This window comes from Homo sapiens, chromosome 1 (assembly GCF_000001405.40).
Source record: "Homo sapiens chromosome 1, GRCh38.p14 Primary Assembly".
NCBI lineage: Eukaryota > Metazoa > Chordata > Mammalia > Primates > Hominidae > Homo > Homo sapiens.
The window spans coordinates 196,245,523-196,259,577 of record NC_000001.11 but is presented as its reverse complement, the minus strand read 5'-3'; the positions used below and the strand labels follow the sequence as shown (position 1 = coordinate 196,259,577).

General features: G+C 31.8%; 1 protein-coding gene across 10 annotated transcripts in view; it reads left to right on the top strand.

Moving 5' to 3' along the window:
• Positions 1 to 14,055, top strand: part of KCNT2 (potassium sodium-activated channel subfamily T member 2) — a 382,662-nt gene that overhangs the window by 348,863 nt on the left and 19,744 nt on the right. For 9 of the 10 annotated variants that reach the window (NR_146057.2, NR_146058.2, NM_001287820.3 and 6 more), the window contains one exon: positions 1,084 to 1,384. Coding sequence is in view for 8 of the 10 variants with exons in the window: in NM_001287820.3 (NP_001274749.1) it covers positions 1,084 to 1,384 (301 nt within the window). In the remaining 2 variants the exon portion in view is untranslated. Of the gene's footprint in view, positions 1 to 1,083; positions 5,738 to 14,055 lie in introns of those variants that run through there. The other variant, XM_017001185.3, reaches the window with a different exon arrangement.

Sequence of the window (14,055 nt, the reverse complement as noted above, 5' to 3'; positions counted from 1 at the left end):
ATTCTATTACTTTAAAAGCCAGCAACACATGCATGCTATAACTGAAGTTCAAGATTCCATCCGTAGAAGGGAAACACAGTTCACAGATTCATGAATGCTGCTCTTAAGTACAATAGTATTCAGGAAATTGTTCATTTGCATGTGCATGTTTTTAGAAAGTAAGACTTTCTTCTTTGATCAGTGTTGCATTTCATATGACTTCCTAGTATGAAAAGCAACAATTTTGAAACAGTAAGTATTGCTTATTAAAGGCTTAAAATCAAAGGAGAGCATCTTACTTTAAAAATCAAATTTAGTCATAAAAGAGTAAGTCATAATAGACTTTGTGAGTTTGTTCATTGTTTTTCCCTCCTATGGAGAACAGCCTGTTTTAAGTCTGAGTTGTAATTCTACAGTATATTTGTGAAACATTAATATTTACAACATATTTTCACTCAGAATACTTAGAATACTTCCTGAATTATGTTTTAATATTTTAGTCAGAAAAGCACTTTATATGGTTAATAATAAATGCATGAGTTAAAAAGTGAGTTTTGTTTTCTTCTGGAGCATATGAGAGAATTTTAAAAATTCACATATTATAACGTTCATGCCAGTGCTGTCTTTAGAAAAAGCAATAATTTAAAAACAACATTAATTCCAAATCTAAGATAGTTATCTTAATTATTTAAATTGAGTGTGAAATACTTGTAATAGGTTTAGAAAAGTCCATTACATGGATTTTATTTGGATAAAGTTGTAAAATGTCTGGTTTTGTATGTTTCAAACAACTGTATGCTAGTAATATCATAAATAACTATGTATGCTAAGTAAAGTTTATGCCTAAAAATTAAATACTTTCATAAAAATTTGTACCAGAGGATACAGGTATTTATTTTGCCTGATTTATATGTACGTTCAAGGAAACATACATTTTAATATTTTTAGTAATGGAAAATTAGAATCAAAGACTGATTTTGCTCTTTCTGTGAAAACTCTCCTGAGTAGAAATATAACAATATATTAGCAAATAAAATATTATTTCAACTTCAAGCCATATTTATTTCTAAAGTATCTAATTATCAATATCTATTTCCTTTAAAGTCTCAAATATCTATCAGTGTAGAAGAGTGGGAAGACACCAAAGACTCCAAAGAACAAGGGCACCACCGCAGCAACCACCGCAACTCAACATCCAGTGATCAGTCGGACCATCCCTTGCTGCGGAGAAAAAGCATGCAGTGGGCCCGAAGACTGAGCAGAAAAGGCCCAAAACACTCTGGTAAAACAGCTGAAAAAATAACCCAGCAGCGACTGAACCTCTACAGGAGGTCAGAAAGACAAGAGCTTGCTGAACTTGTGAAAAATAGAATGAAACACTTGGGTCTTTCTACAGTGGGATATGGTATGCTCTTTAAAAACTACTGTATATATGGACTCGTGATTTCTTGCCATTAGTAGTAATATAGTTGGTTCTAATTTAATAAAGAATTGAATTTTTGCTTCACAGGTCAATTAGTAGAAACTAGTGATACATCTGATCTCCTACAGAAAATTTAAATGATGATGATAAGATAAAATGCTAAAAATTTTCAGCGTTTGCTGAGTCTGCTAGGTACTGTGCTAAACCCATTACATGAATTATCTTAATTTTAATTTTCACAAAAACTCTGAGCCAGACCCTGTGTTTTCATGTTAGAAGTAAAGAACCTAAGTCAGGTAGCCTTCTAATTATCATCTTATTCTAGTGCCTGAGATAAAATGAATTTGAGGCATTGACAAGTAACTGATTGTATTGGCCACAGGTAAACCAAAATGTTCTTATAAAATTTGTTTAGTGTATGTGGTTTAGAAACAAAATCTTCAAAAACTTTAATTTTGAAGCTCAAATACTGCTTTATCTCATATAGTGCCAATCTGTCTCAATAATTGTTCAGTTCCTATATATGATCCATAATTGCCATATAGACACTATAGACACAGCTTAAATAAATAATGCAAAGCTTAAATAATGCAATTATACATTTAAAATATATCATTTATCAGTGTATGAATTTTACTTTAAAAAGATATTTAGTCCAGTCAAAGGAAAACCAAATGATAAACAAGGTGTTTTATTTTACGTATATAAATATGTAACATGGTAAACCAGGAACTCAGATAGGGTTAGTATCATGCAAGTTAAGAATCAAATAGAAGGTATTCCATATTTACCCTTTTCTCTTGTTTATTATTGAAATCTCAACATGAGGCAATGTTCTTAGGAAGAAATTTTAGTCTTTGAATTAGAGTTTAAGAGAAGTTGCCTCTGTTTCTTTGAATAAGGAAAAAACCCACATATTAAGTTAGCACTACTCTATGCATAGCATGCTATGTGTGCTACTCCAGGAACTATGCTAGGTGCTTTATGTGTATATTCTTGTTACTCTTTATAACCCTGATTTGATAGGTATCTCATTTTACCTTTCAGAATTTTGACTTTCAGAAGTTAAAGACTTTGCTCAAAGACATACAGTTAAAATGTGTTGTAGTCAGGACTCCATATATAGTTCATAATTATATGATACTTACTTAAATGTAGTCCAGATTCATCTGTGACAAATAATTTTAATATAATCACATTTAATGTCTTACATTAAGAAGCAAATTAAAAGAAAAAGTAAGATCGTCATTTTAGAAATCCACTAATAGCTATCTGCCAATTAATTTACATGGAAGGTGATTATATTCTTAAAAGGATTATAACTGAGAATGCAGCCCAGCGGGTCTCAGCCTTATTTTGCCCAGCCCCTATTCAAGATGGAATTGCTTTGGTTCAAACGCTTCTGACACTAACACTGTTTTTTATATATATAACAGATCAAAGGATATATATATATATATATATATTTCCATGATAATCACCTGTGAAACTGTCAAACTTGAGGAAAATGGTGCTTTACAAGTGATGTATTAGGAATCTTATTTTTATATTGTCTAAAGAAAAATAATTATATCTCAAATAACACAAAAAACTCATAAGGAAATGTTGAAAAATATTTAAAAATTTAAGTCACTAAATTGCTAATATTTTTTTCAAAGAGTTAGCAAACACTTTAAAATACAAGTTGTCACTAATATCATAGAGCAGTCAACACTGTTGTTGATTAAGTTTTTTCAGATTACCTTTGTTAAACCAAAATTAAATAATGTGAAATTATAATTTATGGAAAATGCTGTCATGGACCACAGCTTACAAGGATGTCATTTTTGTTTGGCTTAATTTTTTCATGATTGATTTCAGGGTTTAAAATTTGGCAGAACTGTTAGCTTTTTTGGGGGGAGTAAAAGGATATACCAGGCTTAAAAAATGGCTCAGTGGTACCAGGTTTATAAACTTGATTTCAGTAAATTTTGAAAATCTGATGCTTGACTATAGAAATTATTGCTTTATGATCATGGAATAATTGGCAGTTGTTGAGGAAAAATATGGAGATAAGTTCCAAAAGGAAGGGCAAGATTTTTATACTTGTGTTTATGCTTATATAATACTATGTGAAAACTCAACTATGAAATAGTGGAGACACATTTTATTTGCCTTTTGAGAGATTAAAACAAAGTTATGAGACATTAAATGCCTTGCCCAGAGTGATTAACATGCAGGAGGAACTGAAACTCTGACCTTATCTGCAACTGTATAGCACTATTAAAATTGTTAATATTTTCTGATATACAGGTTAGGCTGAAATAATCAAGTCATACAAATTCTCATGCATTTATTATCTGAGATATACATATACCTACTCCCAAAAGATTCTGCATTAGAATACAAGTACACAATATTTCACTTGTAATTCCAAAATCCATAATTTCTGAAACCAAGGTTTTAAGTAAGTTTGGCACTAAAATGTGTTTGGATATGGAAACTGATCCAAACTACCTGAAATGATTAAGTATCCTTTACTTATCCTATTTATTGTGAACATATATGTTTTACTGCAGAACCATTAATTTCTCTGCTCCTTCAAACCCTACTGTGGATGCTACACATTATGCGTTATATGCTCAGTAATATTTTCTAAATCTGAAAAATTTAGTTCTCAAACACATCTAGCTCCAAGGGATTGGGAGGTGAAATATGAGGACCCATATGCTTTGAGGAAACAGCTAAAGTGACAATCTACACATTCTGCTTGCTTTTAATTAATTTTTTGTAACTTTCTTCAATATAATTTTTAAAATATATTCACCTCCAAGTTGGACAAGCCGTGTGTTCTTTGGCAAGTCACATCTCTCTGAACTTATTGTCCACCATCAAATGAAGATAATAAAGTATTTCCCAGGGGTATGATGTGTTAGTTATAATTGTCAAATAATAGAATGCAAGTGAAAAGATTTTTTAATCTATAAACTCTATTGCAAATGTGAATAATTTTTTTTCTGTTAATAACTAACATTATTCCTCAATAATCTGTTTAGACTGACTCTCACGCTCACGAACATTGCTCTTTGTTATCTATTGATGGATTTTATGATTAGCCCATAAAATGGTATTTCTAGTAGTATATATTGGCAAGTAAATCTTCCTGATGTGACTGCTGATAATAGGTACTAGCTGATTTGGACGTGTATTGTTATAAATTTCATACTGTTAGTAAAAGATGAAAAGCCAAGGGAAGAATAAAAAGAAATCCTTTTAAATAAAACAAGATAACTAACAGTGTCTAGGCTTGTCCTTTATTATACCCAAGAGAAATTCTTATTTTTTTGTCAAGGAAATTATAATTTGCCTAAAATAATGAATAGAGTAACCAAGAACTCTTTTATAGCTAACATGGTGACTTAGTTCTTAGTCATTGTCTTTCTTATGCAAAAGAAATAAGCAAACTTAACAAGAAAGAATTGTTATTGTTACTCAAACTATGATAGATTTAACAGCAGTAGTAATAGTAGTGGTGATGGTGGTAGTAGTAATAATAAGACCATCATCTTCTGTTTTCAGCTCATAAGTTTTCGTATTTTTTAACGAATAAATCAAATATTTTTCTCTAGTACAGATTTCTTCACAGATTTATCCTAAAACGTATTACCAACTGGGGAAAAGGAACTATGGCTAGTTATTTCTTTTATAATTTTTTGCAACTTTTAATAATTGGAAGGAATAATACAAGTATTTGAGATCATGCTAATGACTTCACTAACAATTTACTATTTCAGAAGGAATTGGCACTGGATTTTTATTGTTTTTTGAGATATATCATTTAGCTTTTCCTAATATAAATGAGTGTGTGTGTATTTTCCCCAGAAAATTAATTATATTCTGTATAATTCTATATTTCCAGAACTCTCAGGGTTGGCCCTCAAAAACACAAGAATGAATACATGGGGTTTGATTTATGTTAATCTCATTCTGTTCATAGAACTTTATTAGGAGTAAACAAACTAATCTTTTTTCTTAATAGATAAATCAATAAAGCATTCAAAAAGGGTAATTGATGAGTTAATGATAGGTAGTAAATGAAAATATTTGAGCAATAAATTGTTCCTATCTCCTTAAATTAAAATATAAAGTTTTACTTTATAGAGTTGTATCATATCCTTCCTAGAGCATTAATTTTTCAATGACACCAATATTTTGCATAATTTCTCACCATACTTAATTGCACTTATACATATATTTAATCTTTACAACTGGAAATTCAAGTGCTGTGTTTTGGCACATGTGTAGGAAAAAAGAGGCCAATTTGAATCAAATAAAATTTTTTTGTTATTGAAATAAGTTAGTTGGTTGAGTGAACTTTTTACTTTTAACAGTTTATTATGGGTTGAGTGGTTGAGTATAAATAGTCAACAAAAGAACAAAGAAAGAGCTTTCTAAATGCTGTAAAACAACAGGGAGAAACTTCTGATTTTGACCATCATTTATGTTCTCAACTGAAATAATACAAAAAATGTGAAACAATATTGTGCAGACTTTGGACAAAGGAAGCGTATAACTTTGTTCCCCAGGGAAAGGGAAATAGATGAATTAACTCCTTTATAAATCAAGGACTAGGATGCAAAATAAGAAAATATGACCCATAACCAGTATAAAAATAAATCAACAGAAACAGATTCGGAAAACACAGATCTTAAAATAGTTATAATATATTCTATATGTTCAAGGTGGCAGAGGAAAACAAGAACATGATAAGGAAATAAACTGAAGATAGAAGAGACCAAATTGAACATTCTAAAAATGCATAATTCAGTATTCCAAGTTAAATACTGGATGGGGGTGGCATCAGAATACCTACCACAGAAAAAACTATCAATGTACATAAAGCCATAGCAATAGACTATCCGAAATACAGTATAGAGAGAAGGAGGGAAAATAAAACTTCGAAGAACACATAGAATGTTAGTTACCAGTGGGACAATATCAACTAATGTAACATGCATGTAACTGGACTCCAAAAGGAGAGAAGAGAATGGATATTTGAAGAAACAATGGCCAAAATTTTTTCAGATTCGATGAGAACTCTACCTAAAATTTAAGAACCTCATTGAAACCCAAGCAATATAAATATTTAAAAATATAAATACTAATAAATACATATTAATAAGTAATGCCAAGAAACAATATACAAAACTGCTGAAAATGTTTCAAAAGGGCTAGAGGAAAAAACCACTTTATGAATGAGGAATATAGGTAAAATGTAAACAGACTTCTTGTTAGAAACTTTACAAAACAAAAAAATAGAAAGGCATCTTGAGAGTAGGAAAAAAAATAGCCCACCTATAACATTATATATAATATAGATATCTTTCTAAAATGAAGGCAAATAATATTTTTAGACAAACAAATGCTGAATTTGTTTATACTACAAAAAAATGATAAAAGGCTTTCCCAAAACAGAAGAAAAATGATGCCAGGTGGAATTATGGATCTAGACCAAATAGTAAATATATAGGTAAACATGCAAGCTATGTTTTTATTTTGTTAAAAGATAATTTACTGTTGAAAGCAAGTTTATAACATTGTGTGGTTTTTAGTACATATGGAAGCAAAAATGTCTGGCTATAATAACTGAAATAACAGGAAAGGAAAAACTGACGTATAATGTAGTAAGGTTGTTCTACTACATGTGAAATGGTATTATATTATTTCAGAGTAGAGAGTAATAACTTAAAGCTGTATATTGTAAACTCTATAGCGTGAGAAATAATAGCACACTAGTTTTGCTAAATAAAGCAACCATCCTTTCTTGTTTATGTGTTGTGCATGGCCTCTTACATCTACAATGTAAGAATTTAGTAGATGCAACAGTTATCATATGGTCTGCAAAGCCTAAAATATTTACTATCTGGCTCTTTACAGAACAAAAGTTTGCCAACCTATGACCTAAAGGAACTACAAAATAACTAAACCAAAATGATATAACTAATAGCCAATAGTGCAAATAAAATGGAATGATTAAAAGAAGAATTTTTTTAAAAACTCACTTCAAAGAAGGAAGAGATAATAAAACAATAAGAAAACACAACTAGCAAAATGAAACATCTAAACCCTAATATATTAACAATTATTTTAAATATAAAGAGACTGCACAGTTCAGTTGGAATGCAGAGATCATCAGGTGGCATTAAAGAAAGCAAAACGCCATATATGTTGCATAAAAGAAACCCACTTAAAAACAAAATTGGTTAAAAGGAAAAATATATTTTTAAATTTTTTAATTTTTGTGAGCACATACTAGGTGTATATATTTACGTGGTACATGAGGTCTTTTGATAAAGGCAAATAATGCATAATAATCACATCAGGGTTAATAAGGTTTCTATAATCTCAAGCATATATTATTTCTTTGTGTTATAACCAATCCACTTAAACTCTTTTAGTTATTTTTAAATGCACAATAAATTATTATTGACTGTAGTCACCATGTTTTGCTATCAAATACTAGGTCTTATTCTATCTAATTATATTTTTGTACCCAATAACTATCCCCTTTCTCCCATCCCCACTACCATTCCCAGCCTCTGGTAACCATCATTTTACTCTCTGTCTCCATGAGTCCAGTTGTCTTAATGTTTAGCTCCCACAAATAAATGAGAATATATGAAGTTTTTATTTCTGTTCCTGGCTTATTTCACCTAACATAATGACCTCCAGTTCCATCACATTGTTTCAAATTACACTATCTCATTCTTTTTTCAGCTCAGAAAAACAAACAAGCAAACAAACAAAAAACACACTGCTAAACACACTTTGGAAGGGCTAGAGGAAAAAAACACTTTATGAATGAGGATTAAATGTAAAATGACAACAGACTTCTTCTTAGAAACTGCAAATCAAAAAAAGTAGAAAGGCGTCTTTACTCCATTGTATATATGTATCATATTTTCTTTATCCATCCATCTCTTGATGAAACTTAGGTTGCTTCCAAATCTTGGCTATTGTGAATACAGCTGCAATAAACATGGGAGTGCAGATATCCTTTCTTTTGGGTATATACCTAGCAGTGAGAATGCTGGATCATATGGTAGTTATGTTTTTAGTTTTTTGAGGAAGCTCTCAACTGTTCTCCTCATAGTGGTTGTACTAATTTACGTTCCCACCAACAGTGTACAAGGGTTCCCTTTACTCCATATCCTCGTCAGGATTTGTCATTGCCTGTATTTTGGATGAAAGCATTTAATTGGGGTGAGATGATATATCATGGTAGTTTTGATTTGTCTTTCTCTGATGATCAGTGACATTGAGGAACTTTACATATACCTGTTTTTCATTGATATGTCTTCTTTTCACCAATGTTTATTCATCTCTTTTGCCCATTTTTAAATTGAATACTAGATTATTTCACATAAAGTTGTTTGAGCTCCTTACACATTCTGGTTATTAATCACTTGTCAGATACACAGTTTGCAGATAGTTTCTCCCATATTGTGGGTTGTAACTTCACTTTGTTGTTTGTTTCCTTTGCTGTGAATAAGCTTTTTAACTTGATGTGATCCCATTTGTCAATTTTTGCATTGGTTGTCTGTGCTTCTGGGGTATTAAAAAATCATTACCCAGTCCAATGTCCTGAAGAGTTTTCCCAATGTTTTCTCTTAGTACTTTCATAGTTAGTAGTCTTAAATTTAACTCTTGAATTTTGATTTATTTTTGTAAATGGTGAGAGGTAATGGTCTAGCTTCATTCTTCCACATATAGATATCCAGTTTTCCTAGAATCATTTATTGAAATTCCTTTCCCCAATGTATGTTCTTGGCACCTTTGTGGAAAATGAATTCACTGTTGATATCTGGTTTTGTTTCTGGGTTCTCTAATCTGTTCCATTGGTCTGTGTGTCTGTACCATGCTGTACCATGCCAGTACCATGTTTCATGCTGTGTTTTTATGCCAGTACCATGCTGCTTTAGTTACTTTAGCTCCGTAGTATAATATGAAGTCAGGTAATGTGATTCTGCCAGTTTTGTTCTTTTTTGCTCAGGGTAGCTATACTGGGTCTTTGTGGTACCATATAAATTTTAGAATGCTTTTTTTTTTATTTGTGTGAAGAATATCATTGGTATTTTGATAGGGATTACATTGAATCTGTAGATTGTTTTGGATAGTATGGGCATTTTAACAATATGTGAACATGAAATATCTGTGAATATGAAATATCATTCAAATTTTTTTGTCCTCTTCAATTTCTTTCATCAATGTCTTTAGTTTACTTTGTAGAGCTTTTTCACTTCTTTAAGTTAGTTCCTAGGTATTTAATTTTATTTGTGGCTATTGTAAATGGGATTACCTTCTTGATTTTATCAGATTGTTCACTGTTGGCATATAAAAATACTAACTTTTTTTTTTTTTGAGACAGAGTCTCACTCTTGTCATCCAGGCTGGAGTGCAGTGGCATGATGTCAGCTCACTACGTAACCTTCGCCTCCTGGGTTCAAGTGATTTGCCTGCCTCAGCCTCCCAAGTAACTGGAATTACAGGCATGCACCCCCAGGCCCAGCTAATTTTTGTATTTTTAGTAGAGACAGGGTTTCACTATGTTGGCCAGGCTGGTCTCAAACTCCTGACCTCAGGTGATCCTCCCGCCTTGGCCTCCCAAAGTGCTGGGATTACAGGCATGAGCCACCATGTCTGGCCATTGATTTTTGTATGTTGATTTTGTACCCTGCAACTTTACTGAATTTGTTTATCAGTTCTAATACTCTTGGTTCAAATCCTTAGGTTTTTCCAAATAGAAGAGCATATCATCTGCAAACAAGGATAATTTGATTCTTTCTTTTCCAATTTGAATGACCTTTCTTTCTTTCTCTCTCTTGCCTGTCTATTCTATATACACCTTCCAGCAGTATGTTGAATGATGTCGTTGAAAGTGAGCATCCTTAACATGTTCCAGATCTTAGAGAAAAGGCTTTCAGTTTTTCCCTACTCAGTATGATACCAACTGTGCATCTGTTGTTATGGTTTTATTGTGTTGAGGTTTGTTCCTCCTATACCCAATTTTTTTAGTTTTTTTTTAATCATGAAAGGATTTTGAATTTTTCCAAATCCATTTTTAGCACCAATTGAAATGATCATTTGGTTTTTGTCCTTCATTCTGTTGATAAGATTGATTGATTTGCACATGTTGAAGCATCTCTGCATCCCTGGGATAAATCCCACTTGGTCATGATGAATAATCTTTCTAATGTGCTGTTGAATTCAGTCTGTTAATACTGTGCTGAGGATTTTTGCATCAATGTTCATCAGAGATATTGGCCTGTAGTTTTGTTTGTTTGTTTCTTTGTCGATGTATCTTTATTTGGTTTTTGTATCAAGGTAATACTGGCCTCTTAGAAAGACTTTGGAAGTATTCCTTCCTCTTCTATTTTTTGGAATAGGTTGAGTAGGATTGTTATTAGTCCTTCTTTCAATGTTTGGTCAAAATCGGGAGTGTAGCCATAAGGGTCTGAGGCTTTTCTTTGCTGGGACATTTCTTATTATGGCTTTCATGTCATTATTTGTTATTGGTCTGTTTAGGTTTTGGATTTCTTCATGTTTCAATCTTGGTAGGTTTTGTGTGTCTAGGAGTTTATCAATTTCTTCCAGCTTCCTATTCATTGTCATATAGTTGTTCATAGTAGTGTAGCCTCTAAAAGATCCTTTGTATTTCTGCAGTATCAGTTGTAATGTTTTGTTTTCATCTCTTATTTTATTTATATGGGTGTTTCCTCTTTTTTTCTTATTCTGGATAAAAGTTTGTCAATTTTGTTTATCTTATCAAAAAACAACTTTTTCTTTTGTTGATCTTTTGTATTTTTTTCTTCATTTCAATGTCATTTATTTCTGCTCATACCTTTATTGTTTCTTTTTTTCTACTATTTTTGGTTTAGCTTGCTCTTGCCTTTCTAGTGCTTTAAGATGCATCATTTGGTTGTTTATTTGAAGTTTTTCTATTTTTCTGATGTAGGCACTTTTAGCTATAAATTTTCCTCTAAGTGCCGCTTTCATTGTACCCCATAGATTTTTGGTATGTTGTGTTTCCATTACTTTTTGTTTTGAGAAATCTTTCAATTTCCTTCTTAATATCTTCATTGAGCCATTGGTCATTCAAGATTATACTGTTTAATTTCCACGTGTTTGTATAGTTTTCATAGTTCTCTTGTTGATTTGTAGTTTTATTCCTTTGTGGTCAGAGAATATACTTGCTATAGTACCATTTTTAAAATAAATTATGAAGTCTTGTTTTGTGGCCTAACATATGGCCTGTCCTTGAGAATGATCCATATACTAAGGAGAAGAATGTGTACTGTGCAGCCATTGGATGAAATGTAATATGGATTTTGGTTGTGCCCCCACCCATATCTCATCTTGAATTGTAGTTTCCATAACCCCTACCTGTTGTGGGAGGGACCTGCTGGGAGGTAATTGAATCATGGGGTGGTTACTTCTATGCTGTTCTTATAATAGTGAGTTCTCACAAGATCTGATGGTTTTATAAGGGGCTTTTCTGACTTTTGCTCAGCACTTCTCCTTCATGCCATCATGTGAAGAAGGATATGTTTGCTTCCCCTTCTGCCATGATTGTAAGTTTCCTGAGGCCTTCCCAGCCATGCGGAACTGTGAGTCAATTTCTCTTTATACATTACCCAGTCTCAGGCGGTTCTTCATAGCAGTGTGAGAACCAACTAATACAAAATGTTTTGCCAATATCTTAGTAGATATTTGGTCTATAGCAAGGATTAAGTCTGACATTTCCTTGCTGATTTTCTGTCTGGATGATCTGTTCCACATTGAAAGAGGGCTGTTGAAGTCTCCAGTTATTATTGTGTTGGAGTCTATCTCTCCTTAGTTCTTATAATATTTGCTTTGTATATCTGGGTATTCCAATGTTGGTTGCATGTATATTTTCAATTGTTACATCCTTTTTCTAAATTTACCCCTTAATCATTATATATTGACCTTTGTCTCTTTTTATAGTTTTTACCTTGAAATCTATTTTATCTGATGTAAAAACATTTCTCCTAGTCTTTTTTGGTTTCTATTGGCATGGAATGTCTTTTTCCATACCTTTTTTTCAGTCTATGTGTGTCTTTACAAGGGAAGTGTGTTTCTTGTAGGCAAGAGATCATTAAGTCTTGTTTTTCTAATTCATTCAGGTGCTCTTGTATTTTGATTGGGAGGGTTTAGTCAATTTACATTCAATGTTTTCATTGATAAGTAACAACTTATTCCGACATTTATTTATTTATTTGTTTTTTGCTGGTTGTTTTGTGGTCTTCTCTTACTTCTTTCCTTCCTTCTCATCTTCCTGTTAGAGAAGGTGATTTTCTCTGGTGGTATACTTTAATTTCTTACTTTTTATTTATCATGTATCTGTTGTATGTTTTTTGATTTGAAATACCATGAGGCTGGCAAAATATCTTACAACCCATTTTATTAAACTGATGACAACATAACACTGATTGCATAAACAAACAAACAAGTAAAGAGAAAAGTAACCAAAACTCTACACTTTAACTTTATCCTCCACTTTTTAACTTTTTTTTGTTTGTATTTATATCTTATTATACTATGTCCTGAAAACTGGAAAAATTGTAGCTATTATTTTTGATCAGTTTATCTTTCAGTCTTTCTACTGAAAATACAAGTAATTTACCCACCACTATTACAATAGTATATTTTTGTGTGTGTATTTACTATTACCAATGAGTTTTGTACCTTCAGATGATTTCTTATTGTTTTAACATCCTTTTCTTTCAGATTGAAGAACTCTCTTTAGCATTTCTTATAGCAGGTCTGGTGTTGATGAAATCTCTCAGATTTGTCTGACTGGGAAAGTCCTTATTTCCCTTTTTTGTTTAAAGAATATTTTCAATGGGTTGAAAACACAAGGATAAAAGGATACAAGTATTATTCCTATTCTAGGATACAAGTATTTTTCCTTCAGCACTTTAAATACATAATGCCACTGTCTCCTGGCCTGTAAGGTTTCCACTGAGAAGTCTGCTCCCAGATATATTAGAGCACCATTGTATGTTGTTTCTTTTCTCTTGCTACTTTTCAGATCCTTTCTTTATTCTCGATCTTTTGCAGTCTGATTATTAAATGTCTTAAAGTAGTCTTATTTTGATTAATCTGCTTGATGTTCTATTATCATCTTGTATTTATATATTGATGTATTTCTCTAGGCTTGAGAATTTCTCTGTTACTATCCTGTTGCATCAACTTTCTAAGCCTATCTTTCAACCTCCTCTTTAAAGTCAGTAACTCTTAGATTTGCCCTTTTGGTGCTGTTTTCTAGATTCTGTAGGCATGCTTCATTTTTTAAAATTGTGCTTTCCTTTTTCTCCTCTGACCGTACTTTCATATAGCCAGTTTTCAAGCTCACTAATTCTTCTGTTAAGAGACTGATGCATTCTTCATTATGCCAGTTGCATTTTTCAACTCTAGAATTTTTGCTTGTTTCTTTTTAATTAGTTCAACCTCTTTGTTAATTTTTTTGTTAGGATTCTGAATTCCTTCTCTGTGTTATCTTGAATTTTGTTGAGTTTCTTCAAAACAGCTATGTTGAATAATCCATCTAAACAATCAAATATCTGTCTTTCCATAATTGGTCGCTGATTCCT